Source organism: Homo sapiens, chromosome 7 (assembly GCF_000001405.40).
Source record: "Homo sapiens chromosome 7, GRCh38.p14 Primary Assembly".
In the NCBI taxonomy this organism is placed as follows: Eukaryota; Metazoa; Chordata; class Mammalia; order Primates; family Hominidae; genus Homo; species Homo sapiens.
Genome location: NC_000007.14, coordinates 97,093,285 through 97,105,956, shown reverse-complemented (window position 1 = coordinate 97,105,956; position 12,672 = coordinate 97,093,285). Strand labels below are relative to the sequence as shown.

The following is a 12,672-nucleotide window of genomic DNA, read 5'->3' as shown; positions in this document are numbered from 1 at the left end:
AATACCTAATACAATATAAATAGTTGTTATACTATATTGTTTAGGGAATAATGACAAAGAAAAGTCTGTATATGTCAGTACAGGTGCAATTGTTTTTCTGAACATTTTTGATCCTGAGTTGGTTAAATCTGTGATGCAGAACGCATGGATATGAAGGGCTGACTGTACAATGTTGGCACTCTTAATAAAGATCCATAAAATCTCCATTATCTATATCTTCTTCCTTCCTACTCTCCTTCAACCCAAACTTTCCACCAGAACTCTTGATTATATCCCAACTCTTCTGAGGAGTGTCTTCATAACCCCTTGTTCTTTCTCTCACAGGCATTTTCAATTATTTTCTTCATGATATTATTTCATTGAGCTCACAAACACTCACGAGAATACTTCAGGTTAAAAGAAAATCTCTCTATTCTGCCTCCCCTTTAAGCGACCATCCTGTTACTCTGCTTTTTTTCATTGACTTGAAAATATACATTCCTATTCCCACTTTCTCCATCTCCATACCCATTCCTCATTTAATCCCCTGCCTCCTCTTTTTTTTGAGACTGAGTCTGGCTTTGTCACCCAGGCTGGAGTGCAGTTGTGTGATATTGGCTCACTGCAACCTCCACCTCCCCAGGTTCAAGCGATTCTCCTGCCTCAGCCTCCCAAGTAGCTGGGATTGCAGGCTAATTTTTGTATTTTTAGTAGAGATGGGGTTTCACCATATTGGCCAGGCTGGTCCAGAACTCCTGACCTCAAGTGATCCACCCGCCTCAGCCTCCCAGTGTTGGGATTACAGGCCTTGAGCCACCACGCCCAGCCCATTTGACCCCTTTTAACCTGGTGTTGGCCTCACTATTCTTCTGAAATCTCTTTCTTCAAAGTCACTAGTCATTTGCTTCTGTTCACACTCCTACCCCCTCCTGACTTCCTAGAAGTCTTTGCATCTTTGCCTTCCACACATTTGTGCTGCCCAGGCGATCCCACCTTCAGGACCCCACTCCCTCTGTCTTCTTAACTGGCTGTAGTTCTTCCAGCCCACAAATGTGAACAAGTGCGAAGGCTCAATCCAAACATGACTCCCTGTCAGCGCTCTTGTCCCGGCCAGCTGTCCCCAGCAATTACTGATGCTCTGCTGCCCCCGCCTGGCCAAGCCCATTCTAACCACTTCAAAGGCCTCACTGGACCCTTATCTGGAAAACCGCCAGCATAGCTTCTCAAAAAGCTGTTCCAAGCCTCATACACACACCTCTGACCTCTCCACAGTTAAGAGTCTTGCTCTCTATATAACCACAGGATAAGTCCAAACTGGGTGTCCTGTCATCCTTTCAGAGTCTCTGTTCCAAGCTAAACTCATCAGTTTTCTCCAAAGACTTTTCTCTCTCCACGCATCTGTGACATCTTTCCTTCTTTTGATACATGTCATTGTCGAGGAATCCTTGTTTTGACGCTACTTTTGTAAATCAGTTGCTTTTTCTCCTTGCCATTGCCCCACCTGCCTAGACTCTGTATCTCTCAGTTGAAGGATTGCAACAGTCTTCTAATTGCATTTCCTTTCTTTAGTTTTTTTTCTACCTCCAATTAATAGGACATAACATATTCAAATTGATCTTTTTAAAACATGGCTTCACTCAGGTGTCTCCCACAGCCCACCATCTTCCAAAGCTTTCCCACTGTCCTCAGAGTACAACCTGTGCCCCCAGGATATAAAGTCACATTGTAATCAAAGGCAACTGGCAGCCACACTATTACTAACTCACTTTTTCATAGCACTGTACTTTCATAGTACATAGCACTCTTAAAATTGAAGGAAAACAATCTAAATAATTCAGACAAAGATATCAACTTCATAAGGCCATTGTCATTTAACCTACAGAAAGCAAAAGTCAGTAAATATATAAACAAATGCAAAAAAATTGACAAGGGACATTATCTCCCTTCTCTCTGTCCTCCTCAAATTAGAATGAATTTACAGTATCTATTCTGTTTTGTTGTTGTTGTTTATTTCAGCAGTTTTGGGGGAACAAATGGTGTTTGGTTGCACAGAAAAGTTCTTTAGTGGTGATTTCTGAGATTTGGCGCACCCATCACCCGAGCAGTGTACACTGTACGCAATGTGTAGTCTTTTATCCCTCACCCTCCTCCCACCCCTCCGCTCAAGTACCCAAAGTCCATTATATCATTCTTATGCCTTTGCATCCTCATAGCTTAGCTCTCACTTATAAGTAAGAACATATGATGTTTGGTTTTCCATTCCTGAGTTACTTCACTTAGATAATGATCACCAACTCCATCCAAGTTGCTGCGAATGCCTTTATTTTGTTCCTTTTTATGGCTGAGTAGTATTCCATGGAATACTATATATTCCATGGAATACTATATATGTTATGTCCTATTAATTGGAGGTAGAAAAAAAACTAAAGAAAGGAAATGCAATTAGAAGACTGTTGCAATCCTTTAACTGAGAGATACAGAGTCTAAGCAGGTGGGGCAATGGCAAGGAGAAAAAGCAACTGATTTACAAAAGAAGTGTCAAAACAAGGATTCCTTGACAATGACATATATCAAGAGAAAGAAATATGTCACAGATACATGGAGAGAGAAAAGTCTTTGGAGAAAACTGATGTCATTTATATATATATATAACATATATATATAAAACATATATATATAAAACATATATATATAAAACATATATATATAACATATATATGTAATATAATACCATGGTGTGTGTGTGTGTGTGTGTGTGTGTGTATGTATATATATATATACACACCACAGTTTCTTTATCCACTCATTGATTGAAGGGCATTTGGGCTGGTTCTATATTTTTGCAATTGCAGATTGCGCTGCTATAAACATGCATGAGCAAGTGTCTTTTTTGGATGATGACTTCTGTTCCTCTGGGTAGATACTCAGTAGTAGGATTGCTGGATCAAGTGGTAGTTCTACTTTTAGTTCTTTAAGGACTCTCCATACTGTTTTCCATAGGGGTTGTACTAGTTCACAGTCCCAACAGCAATGTAAAAGTGCTCCTTTTTACTACATCCATGCCAACATCTATGGCCATTCTTGCAGAAGTAAGGTGGTTTTGCACTGCAGTTTCGATTTGCGTTTCCCTGATCGTTAGTGATGTTGAGCATTTTTTCATGTTTGTTGGCCATTTGTATATCTTCTTTTGAGAATTGTCTATTCATGTCCTTTGCCCACTTTTTGATGGGGTTATTTGTTTTTTTCTTGCTGATTTTTTTGAATTCCTTGTAGATTCTGGATATGAGTCTTTTATCAGATACATAGCTGGCAAAGATACTCTTCCACTCTGTGGGCTGTCTGTTTGCTGATTATTTCTTTTACTGTGCAGAAGCCTTTTAGTTTAATTAGGTACCATCTATTTGTTTTTGTTGCATTTGCTTTTGGTCATGAAGTCTTCGCCTAAGTCAATATCTAGAATTGTTTTTCTGAGGTTATCTTTTAGAATTTTTATGGTTTCAGGTCTTAGATTTAAGTCTTTGATCCATTTTGAGCTGATTTTTGTATAAGGTGAGAGATGAGGATCCAGCTTCCTTCTTCTACATGTGGCTTGCCAATTACCCCAACACCATTTGTTGAATACAGTGTCTTTTCCCCACTTTATGTTTTTGTTTGCTTTGTTAAAGGGCAGTTGTCGGCCGGGTGTGGTGGCTCATGCCTGTAATCCCAGCTTTGGGAGGCCGAGGTGGGCAGATCACGAGGTCAGGAGATCGAGACCATCCCAGCTAACACAGTGAAACCCCGTCTCTATTAAAAATACAAAAAATTAGCTAGGTGTGGTGGCGGGCGCTTGTAGTCCCAGTTACTCGGGAGGCTGAGGCAGGAGAATGGCATGAATCTGGGAGGCGGAGCTTGCAGTGAGCCGAGATCGCACCACTGCACTCCAGCCTTGGCGACAGAGCAAGACCCTGTCTTAAAAAAAAAAAAAATGTCAGTTGTCTATAAGTATTTGGCTTTGTTTCTGGGTTCTGTAGTCTGTTCCATTGGTCTATGTGCCTATTTTTATACCAGTACCTTGCTTTTTTGGTAACTATAGCCTTGTAGTATAGTTTGAAGTTGGGTAATGTGATGCCTCCAGATTTGTTCTTGCTTAGTCTTGCTTTGGCTATGCAGGCTCTTTTTTGGTTCCATATGAATTTTAGGAATGTTTTTTCTAGTTCGATGAGAAATGATGATGGTATTTTGATGGGAATTGCATTGAATTTGTAGATTGCTTTTGGCAGTATGACCATTTTCACAATATTGATTCTACCCATCTATGAGCATGGGATGTGTTTCTATTTGTGCCATCTATGATTTCTTTCAGCAGTGTTTTATAGTTTTCCTTTCAGAGATCTTTTATCTCCCTGGTTAGGCATATTCCTAAATATTTCCTTTTTTTTTGCACCTGTTGTAAAAGGGGTTGAGTTCTTGATTTGATTCTCAGCTTGGTCATTGTTGGTGTATAGCAGTGCTGCTGATTTGTGTACATTGATTTTGTATCCTGAAACTTTACTGACTTCGTTTATCAAATCTAGGAGCTTTTTGGATGAGTTTTTAGGGTTTTCTAGGTATACAAACATATAATTGGTGAACAGTGTCAGTTTGAGTTCCTCTTTACTGATTTGGATGCTTTTTGTTTCTTTCTCTTGTCTTATTGCTCTGACTAGGACTTCCAGTACTATGTTGAATAGCAGTGGTAAAGGTGGGCATCCTTGTCTTGTTCCAGTTCTCAGGGGGAATGCTTTCAACTTTTCCCCATTTAGTATAATGTTGGCTGTGGGTTTGTCATAGATGGCTTTTATTACCTTGAGGTATGTCTCTTCTATGCCAATTTTGCTGAGGGTTTTCATCATAAAGGCATGCTGAATTTTGTCAAATGCTTTTTCTGCATCTATTGAGATGGACATGTGATTTTTGTTTTTAATTGTTTGTGTAGTGTATCACATTTATTGACTTGTGTATGTTAAACCATCGCTGCATCCCTGTTATGAAACCCACTTGATCATGGTGTATTATCTTTTTGATATGCTGTTGGATTTGATTAGCTAGTATTTTTGTTGAGGATTTTTGCATCTGTGTTCATCAGGGATATTGGTCTGTAGTTTTCTTTTTTCTTATGTCATTTTCTGGCTTTGGTATTAGGGGGATACTGACTTCATAGAATGATTTAGGGAGGAATTCCTCTTTCTCTATCTTGTGAAATAGTTTCAGTAAGATAGGTACCAATTCTTCTCTGAATGCCTGATAGAATTCAGCTGTGAGGCCGGGTGTGGTTGCTCATGCCTGTAATCCCGGCACTTTGGGAGGCCAAGGCAGGTGGATCACGAGGTCAGGAGTTCTAGATCAGTCTGGCCAACATAGTGAAACCCCATCTCTACTAAAAATACAAAAAATTAGCTGGGTGTGGTGGTGTACACCTGTAATCCCAGCTACTCGGGAGGCTGAGGCAGGAGAATCACATGAACCTGGGAGGCAGAAGTTGCAGTGAGCCGAGATTGTGCCATTGCACTCCAGCCTGGGTGACGGTGCGAGACTCCGTCTCGGGGAAAAAAAAAAAAAAAAAAAGAATTCAGCTGTGAATCCATCTGGTCCTGGACTTTTTTTGATTGGTAATTTTTTTATTACTGTTTCAATATCACTACTTGTTACTGGTCTATTCAGAGTTTCTATTTCTCCCGGATTTAATCTAGGAGGGTTGTATATTCCCAGGAATTTATCCATCTCCTTTAGGTTTTCTAGTTTGTGTGCATAAAGGTGTTCATAGTAGCCTTGAATGATCTTTTGTATTTCTGTGGTATCAGCTGTAGTATTTCACATTTCATTTCTAATTGAGCTTATTTGGATCTTCTGTCTTCTTTTCTTGATTACTGTTGCTACTGGCCTATCAATTTTATTTATCTTTTCAAAGAACCAGCTTTTTGTTTCATTTATCTTTTGTATTTTTTTTTGTTTCAATTTCATTTAGTTCTGTTCTGATCTTTGTTATTTCTTTTCTTCTGCCGGGTTTGGGTTCTTGTTTCTCTAGTTCCTTGAGGTGTGACCTTAGGTTGTCATTTTGTGCTCTTGCAGACTTTTTGATGTAAGGATTTAATGCTGTGAAATTTCCTCTTCGCACTTTTTTTTGCTGTGTCCCAGAGGTTTTGGTAAGTTGTGTAACTATTATCATTCAGTTCAAAGAATTTTTAAATTTCCATCTTGATTTCATTATTGATCCAAAGATCATTGAGGAGAGATTATTTAATTTCCATGCATTTGTATAGTTTTAAGGATTTCTTTTTTTTTTTTTTTTTTGAGACGGAGTCTCGCTCTGTCGCCCAGGCCGGACTGCGGACTGCAGTGGCGCAATCTCGGCTCACTGCAAGCTCCGCTTCCCGGGTTCACGCCATTCTCCTGCCTCAGCCTCCCGAGTAGCTGGGACTACAGGCGCCCGCCACCGCGCCCGGCTAATTTTTTGTATTTTTAGTAGAGACAGGGTTTCACCTTGTTAGCCAGGATGGTCTCGATCTCCTGACCTCATGATCCACCCACCTCGGCCTCCCAAAGTGCTGGGATTACAGGCGTGAGCCACCGCGCCCGGCCGTTTTAAGGATTTCTTTTGGAATTAATTTCCAATTTTATTTCACTGTGATCTGAGAAGCTATTTTATATAATTTCAATTTTCTTAAATTTATTGAGACTTGTTTTGTGGCCCATGATATGATCTGTTTTGGAGAATGTTCCATATGCTGATGAAAAGAATGTATATTCTGCAGTTCTTGGGTAGAATGTTCTGTAAATATCTGTTAAGTCCATTTGTTCTAGGGTATAATTTAAGTTCATTGTTTCTTTGTTGACTTTCTGTCTTGATGACCTGTCTAGTGTTGTCAGTACAGTATTGAAATTCCCCACTATTATTTTGTTGCCATCTATTTCATTTCTTATGTCTAGTAATACTTGTATTATAAATTTGGGAGCTCCCATGTTAGGTGCATATATATTTAGGATTGTGATATTTTCCTGTTGGACTAATCCTTTTATCATTACATAATGTTCCTCTTTGTCTTTTTAAACTGTTGTTGCTTTGAAGTCTGTTTTGTCTGATATAAGAATACAGTATCTATCCTTCATTATTACAAATTTAAGGTGAGTAAGTCATATTCAGCTAGATTCCAGCTCTGCCACTTTTGAAGTCTATGCCTTGGGCTAGTTGTTTAACCTCTCTGGACTTCAGTTTCCCCTCTTAAAATGAGAATGTTGGTAGGTACTTAAAAAGCATCTGTTAGGCTGGGCTCAGTGGCTCATGCCTGTAATCCCAGCACTTTGGGAGGCAGAGACGGAAGAATCACCTGAGGTCAGGAGTTTGAGACCAGCCTGGCCAACATGGCGAAACCCTGTCGCTACTAAAAACACAAAAATTAGCCGGGTGTGGTGGTGGGTGCCTGTAATCCCAGTTACTCGGAAGGCTGAGGCAGGAGAATCACTTGAACCCGGGAGGCGGAGGTTGCAGTGAGCCAAGATCTTGCCACTGCACTCCAGCCTGGGCAACAGAGTGAGACTCTGTCTCAAAAAAAAAAAAAAAAAAAAAAAAAAGCGTCTGTGTAATTTAGCTATTTAATATGTAAAAAGCATTTAGAAGACCAGGCATAGTGGCTCATGTCTGTAACCCCAGCACTTTGGGATGTCAAGGCAGAGGGATCTCTTGAGCCCGGGAGTTCGAGACCAGCCTGGGCAACAGAGCAAGACACCATTTCTACAAAAAAATTGTTTTAATTGTCCAGGCCTGGTGGTGCATACCTGTAGCCCCAGCTACTCGGGAAGCTAAGGTGGGAGGATCACCTGAGCCAGAGAAATTGAGGCTGCAGTGAACTGAGATTGTGCCACTGCACCCCAGCCTGAGCAACCGGAGTGAGACCCTGTCTCAAAACAAACAAACAAACAAAAAACAAACAACAACAAAAAAAATTGAGAATAGTTAGTGACTAGCACATAAAAAGTGATTATTAGAGTTAACAATGATAATAATGATGATATAAATTGGTAGTCAGTAGAAACTTTACCCACTATTTTAAAAAATACGTTTTTTAAACCTAATTTTCACTTTAGAACATAACATTACTGTTAGATATATACAACTTAAAATTAACTGAAATAATGATATGATATAACCGTATATGACTGTCTAAATTTTTTTTTTAAATAGTGTCTCACTTTGTCATCCAGGCTGGAGTACAGTGGCATGATCTCTGCTCACTGCAATCTCCATCTCTGGGCTCGAGCAATCCTCCCACCTCAGCTCCAGAGCAGCTGGGATTATAAGCGTGCGCCACCATGCCCGGCTAATTTTTTGTGTTTTTAATAGAGGAGGTTTCACCATGTTGGCTAGGCTGGTCTTGAACTCCTGGCCTCAAGTGATCTGCCCGCCTTGGCGTCTCAAAGTGCTGGGATTACAGACATGAGCCACTGCGCCTGGCCCTTAAATATTTTCCAGGCCGGACTAAGAGTGTTTAAACAAACACTTTTTCCTCCCCCATAAAATAAGACTTTGACAATTAATGACTACAGTATTTTTTTACAAACATATTAGCAACTGTCACAAAGATCTTAGAATTATGCTTAGAGCAAATCACAAAATTATTTCATTCATTTTAATTATCTTATTTACTTGAACTCCAAATGGCCTTTCGGATAGTACAATAATGTTCTTAATGGATGAGATTATTTTAAAATGTAACAATGTCACAACATATGCATCCATTAATGAAATATACATTTCAAAGTTATGTCAAATGGGATCTATACTAACAAAAACAGAAAAGAAAAAGAACACAGATGTATTCTCCTTTATGGATGTATGATGGAATTATAGCCTTTTCAGGAACTCTAGCGGAATAAACATTCTATAGAGACTGTATTTTGCCATCTATAGGAATATAATATTAAAGAAATTTTTTTGTTCACAGGTACCAAATTTAAATACAATCATGCCCTGCATAACAATCTTTCAGTTAACAATGGACCACATATACAACAGCAGTCCTAAGAGATTATAATGGAGCTGAAACATTCCTATTGCCTAGTGACGTAGTAGCAGTCATAATATCATAAAGTAACACGTTACTCGCGTGTTTGTGGTGATGCTTGTGTAAACAAACCCATTGTGCTGCCTGGCCTATAAAAATACAGCACATGCAATGAGGTATAGTACATAATACTTGTTAATGATAATAAATGACTTACTGGTTTATGTATTTACTATACTCTACTATCATTTTTATTTTTTATTTATTTTTATTTTTTATTGAAAATAAAAATGTGGCGCCCGCCACCACACCCAGCTACTTTTTTGTATTTTTAGTTGAGATGGGGTTTCACCGTGTTAGCGAGGATGGTCTCGATCTCCTGACCTCGTGATCTGCCCACCTCAGCCTCCCAAAGTGCTGGGATTACAGGCGTGAACCACCGTGCCAGGCCTATTCTTCATTTTTAATTTTTTTTATCAGGCTCCTAATGAGCCCATCAGATCAAAAAGGGCTGCCAATATTCCCAAGGGATTCTTGAGCACACAGAATGTTTTCCATAGTACTCCTACTGGAGAAGCTACCTAATGTCTCAAGAAGTTGGGTCTGAGAAAAGAAGGATTTTCCTAGAATGCCTTCACCCTAAATGGGTGCTTCTCAAACTGTAGTGTGCTCACCAGTCATCTGGGTATCTCGTTTAAATGCAGATGCAGATTCAGCTGGTTCAGGGAGGGAACTGAGATCCTACATCTCTATCAAGCTCTCAGGTGATGCCGATGCCACTGAACCATAGATCACACTTTCAGAAGTACAATCCTAAAATGTAGTCTGTTTTATAAGCTAAAAGAGAGTGACATTTTGCTTCCCCCAATTAAATTGTTTATTATAGTATGTATAATGTAGATATTTTAGGTGACTTGTAAACAATTATAATTTCTCTAAACTGACATGCAATTTAAAATCATTAAACAGGCCGGGCGCGATGGTTCACAACTGTAGTAATCCCAGCACTTTGGGAGGCTGAGGCGGGTGGATCACTTGAGGTCAGGAGTTCGAGATCAGCCTGGCCAACATGGTGAAACCCCGTCTCTACTAAAACTATTTTAAAAATTTAGCAGGGCATGGTGGCACGTGCCTATAATGCCAGCTACTCGGGAGGCTGAGGTGGAAGAATCGCTGGAACCCGGGAGGCAAAGGTTGCAGTGAGCCGAGATCGCACCACTGCACTCCAGCCTGGGAGACAGAGCAAGACTCCATCTCAAAAAAAATATAGAAAAAATACAATAAAATAAAATCATTAAACAAAGGAGCAAAAATAAAGCTTCAGTATATTATTTTTGTTGTTGCTGTTGTTTGTTTGTTTTTGAGACAGAATCTCGCTCTATCGCCAGGCTGGAGTGTAGTGGCATCATCTTGGCCTACTGGAACCTCCGCCTCCCAAAAGCAATTCTCATGCCTCAGCCTCGGAGTAGCTGGAATTACAAGTTTGTGCCTACACACCAGGCTAATTTTTTTATTTTTTGTAGAGGCAGGGTTTCACCACTTTGGCCAGGCTGGTCTCAAACTCCTAGCCTTAAGTGATCTGCCAGTCTTCGCCTCCCAAAGTGCTAGGATTACACGCATGAGCCACCGCGCCTGGCCTCCAGTATATTCTTTGAGTTAAAGAGCTAAGGCAGGAGAAGGATACGAAAAAGGTGAAGGCCAATCATTCTCACATTGGAAGCATGGTCTTCAGGTTTGGGGGCCTGCCCAGCCAGGGTAGATAGATTTTATATAGGGTATGGCAGGGCAAGTGAATCCTAAGCACTTAAGGCTAAAAGGGTTCACGAAAGTCTACAGTTGCTTAATCAAATTGCTTTTATGCCGTTGGATCATCATTACATTACTCCACAGGGAATTTAAACATAACATGAACATGTATTTAAATGAACTTGGAAGAAAGCTTGTTGTCCCCTCTCCTGTTTTAATTAGATATGTCTTATATAAGAAATATATAAATGCAGACTCTGTGGTTTCCCTGGCAAGGCTACGGCACTAAGTAAATCCACTTTAAAACTATTTTGTTTGCTTTTTTTTTTCCCCCTTAATTAAGTTTTTTAAGTTTCCTTAGCTCTCTGTGTGGCTGCTTCAGCTCTGGCAGCTGGGTTTGTGGTGAAGGGTTGGGAGAACGCATACCAGCCTCCCCTCACCCCTCCTAATCACACCCCTTGTACAGCTAGATAGGAAAGTAGAAGAAACTGGAAGGGAAAACATCCCAACCAAACAATAGATGCCCTTCATATAAATCCCCTGTCATGCTTAAGAAAAGCCCATTATTTTATCTAGCACATTGATGGTGGGAGGAGGGGCTTTACTCGAAAGCTTTCATTTATCCAAGTATGTGGATGGCTTTCCAAGGCTTATGGAAAACAAGGATAGTGTCCAATTACACAATGCCAATGTATTAAAATATGCTGCTGGCCCAAATGCTATCTTCAACATAGATCTCTGTACTGCAGGCTCCTAGATCAGGGGCTGCAATCATGTGCTAGCAAAATAACCAACATGGGACAACATAGAGGCCTCTGGTTTCTCTCTTCTTTTCTTAAAGCCTTAGTGAAGAAAGCCAGGGTTGACAAATGGCACACGCTGCTGAATGCTATTTAAATTAGAAAGCTGAATGGTTTCAAAACTATATGCGTTTTTCATCTGCCTTTTTAAATTGTGTTTTGTTTTAGTTTAATATTAATTAAACCATAACTGCTGCTAAAATTGAGAACAAAAAGTAGCATATGCATAATATGACCTGTGTATGTTGATACAGCTGGCTCCAAATGTGTAATTAAGCTAATGATGACTCATATAAGATATAGGTATATATTTGTATATCCCTTTATGTTCTAAGACTACATCAAGGAAAAAAAATTAGTAAATCCATGTAGTATGTTTTAATTTATGCTTCTCTTCTTCAGGTTAGGTACTTGGTTTAAATGCATTAAAATTTATATATGAACAAAGATATGCATAGAAAAAACACTGGAAGAAATACACCTAAATGTTAATAGCGATTATTTCTAAAAAGTAAAATTAGAGTTGATTTTTAATTTAAAAAAAAGTTGCCTTTCTTCTCCCCACCCCTTCCAAAATTTCTAAGTGCTTTGAAACAAAAACAAATGAAAAAGACTGTATTACAAGCAGAAGTATGTTAATGATTTTTCTTGATATTTGTTCTACAACTATTTTACATAGATTACTTAATTCAGTCATTCAACACAATTTATTAAGAATCTCCTATGTACCAGGCACTGTGCTCAGGCATTGGGAATGCATTAATATACATACATTACATATTTTCATCAAACAAATATCTTACCAAATATTCTCCACTGGCTTACAGAAGGGTACTAGAAATGCAGGCTCCAAGGTACACTGATCTTCTTCAAAATTACCCCTTATTCTCTACCTTTCCTTAATGGAACTGAGAGTAGAATTAGTCTGACTAAGCAAGCTTTTTTATCACTTTATTTTTATCTTTAGTGAAAAAAAAGTCACCTAATGGTAACTGCCTTCAGCCATGAAAACACAAATGTGCAAGTCTTGTGTCCATCTTTTCAGAGCTTTGTGCCAAGAACTGGTAATGATAGAACAGCCCCCACACTCCCCTGAGGCAGGGACAGGCCTGGGGAGGTGGCAGTGA

General features: G+C 39.4%; 1 annotated feature.

Annotated features, from left to right (window-relative positions):
* Window positions 7,399-7,604: a silencer, noted in NCBI's record as "fragment chr7:96727665-96727870 (GRCh37/hg19 assembly coordinates)". NCBI's record gives its function as "represses an EF-1alpha promoter that drives an FKBP-Casp9 reporter gene in an ReSE screen in K562 erythroleukemia cells {active_cell/tissue: K562}" and the evidence as "EXISTENCE:reporter gene assay evidence [ECO:0000049][PMID:32094911]".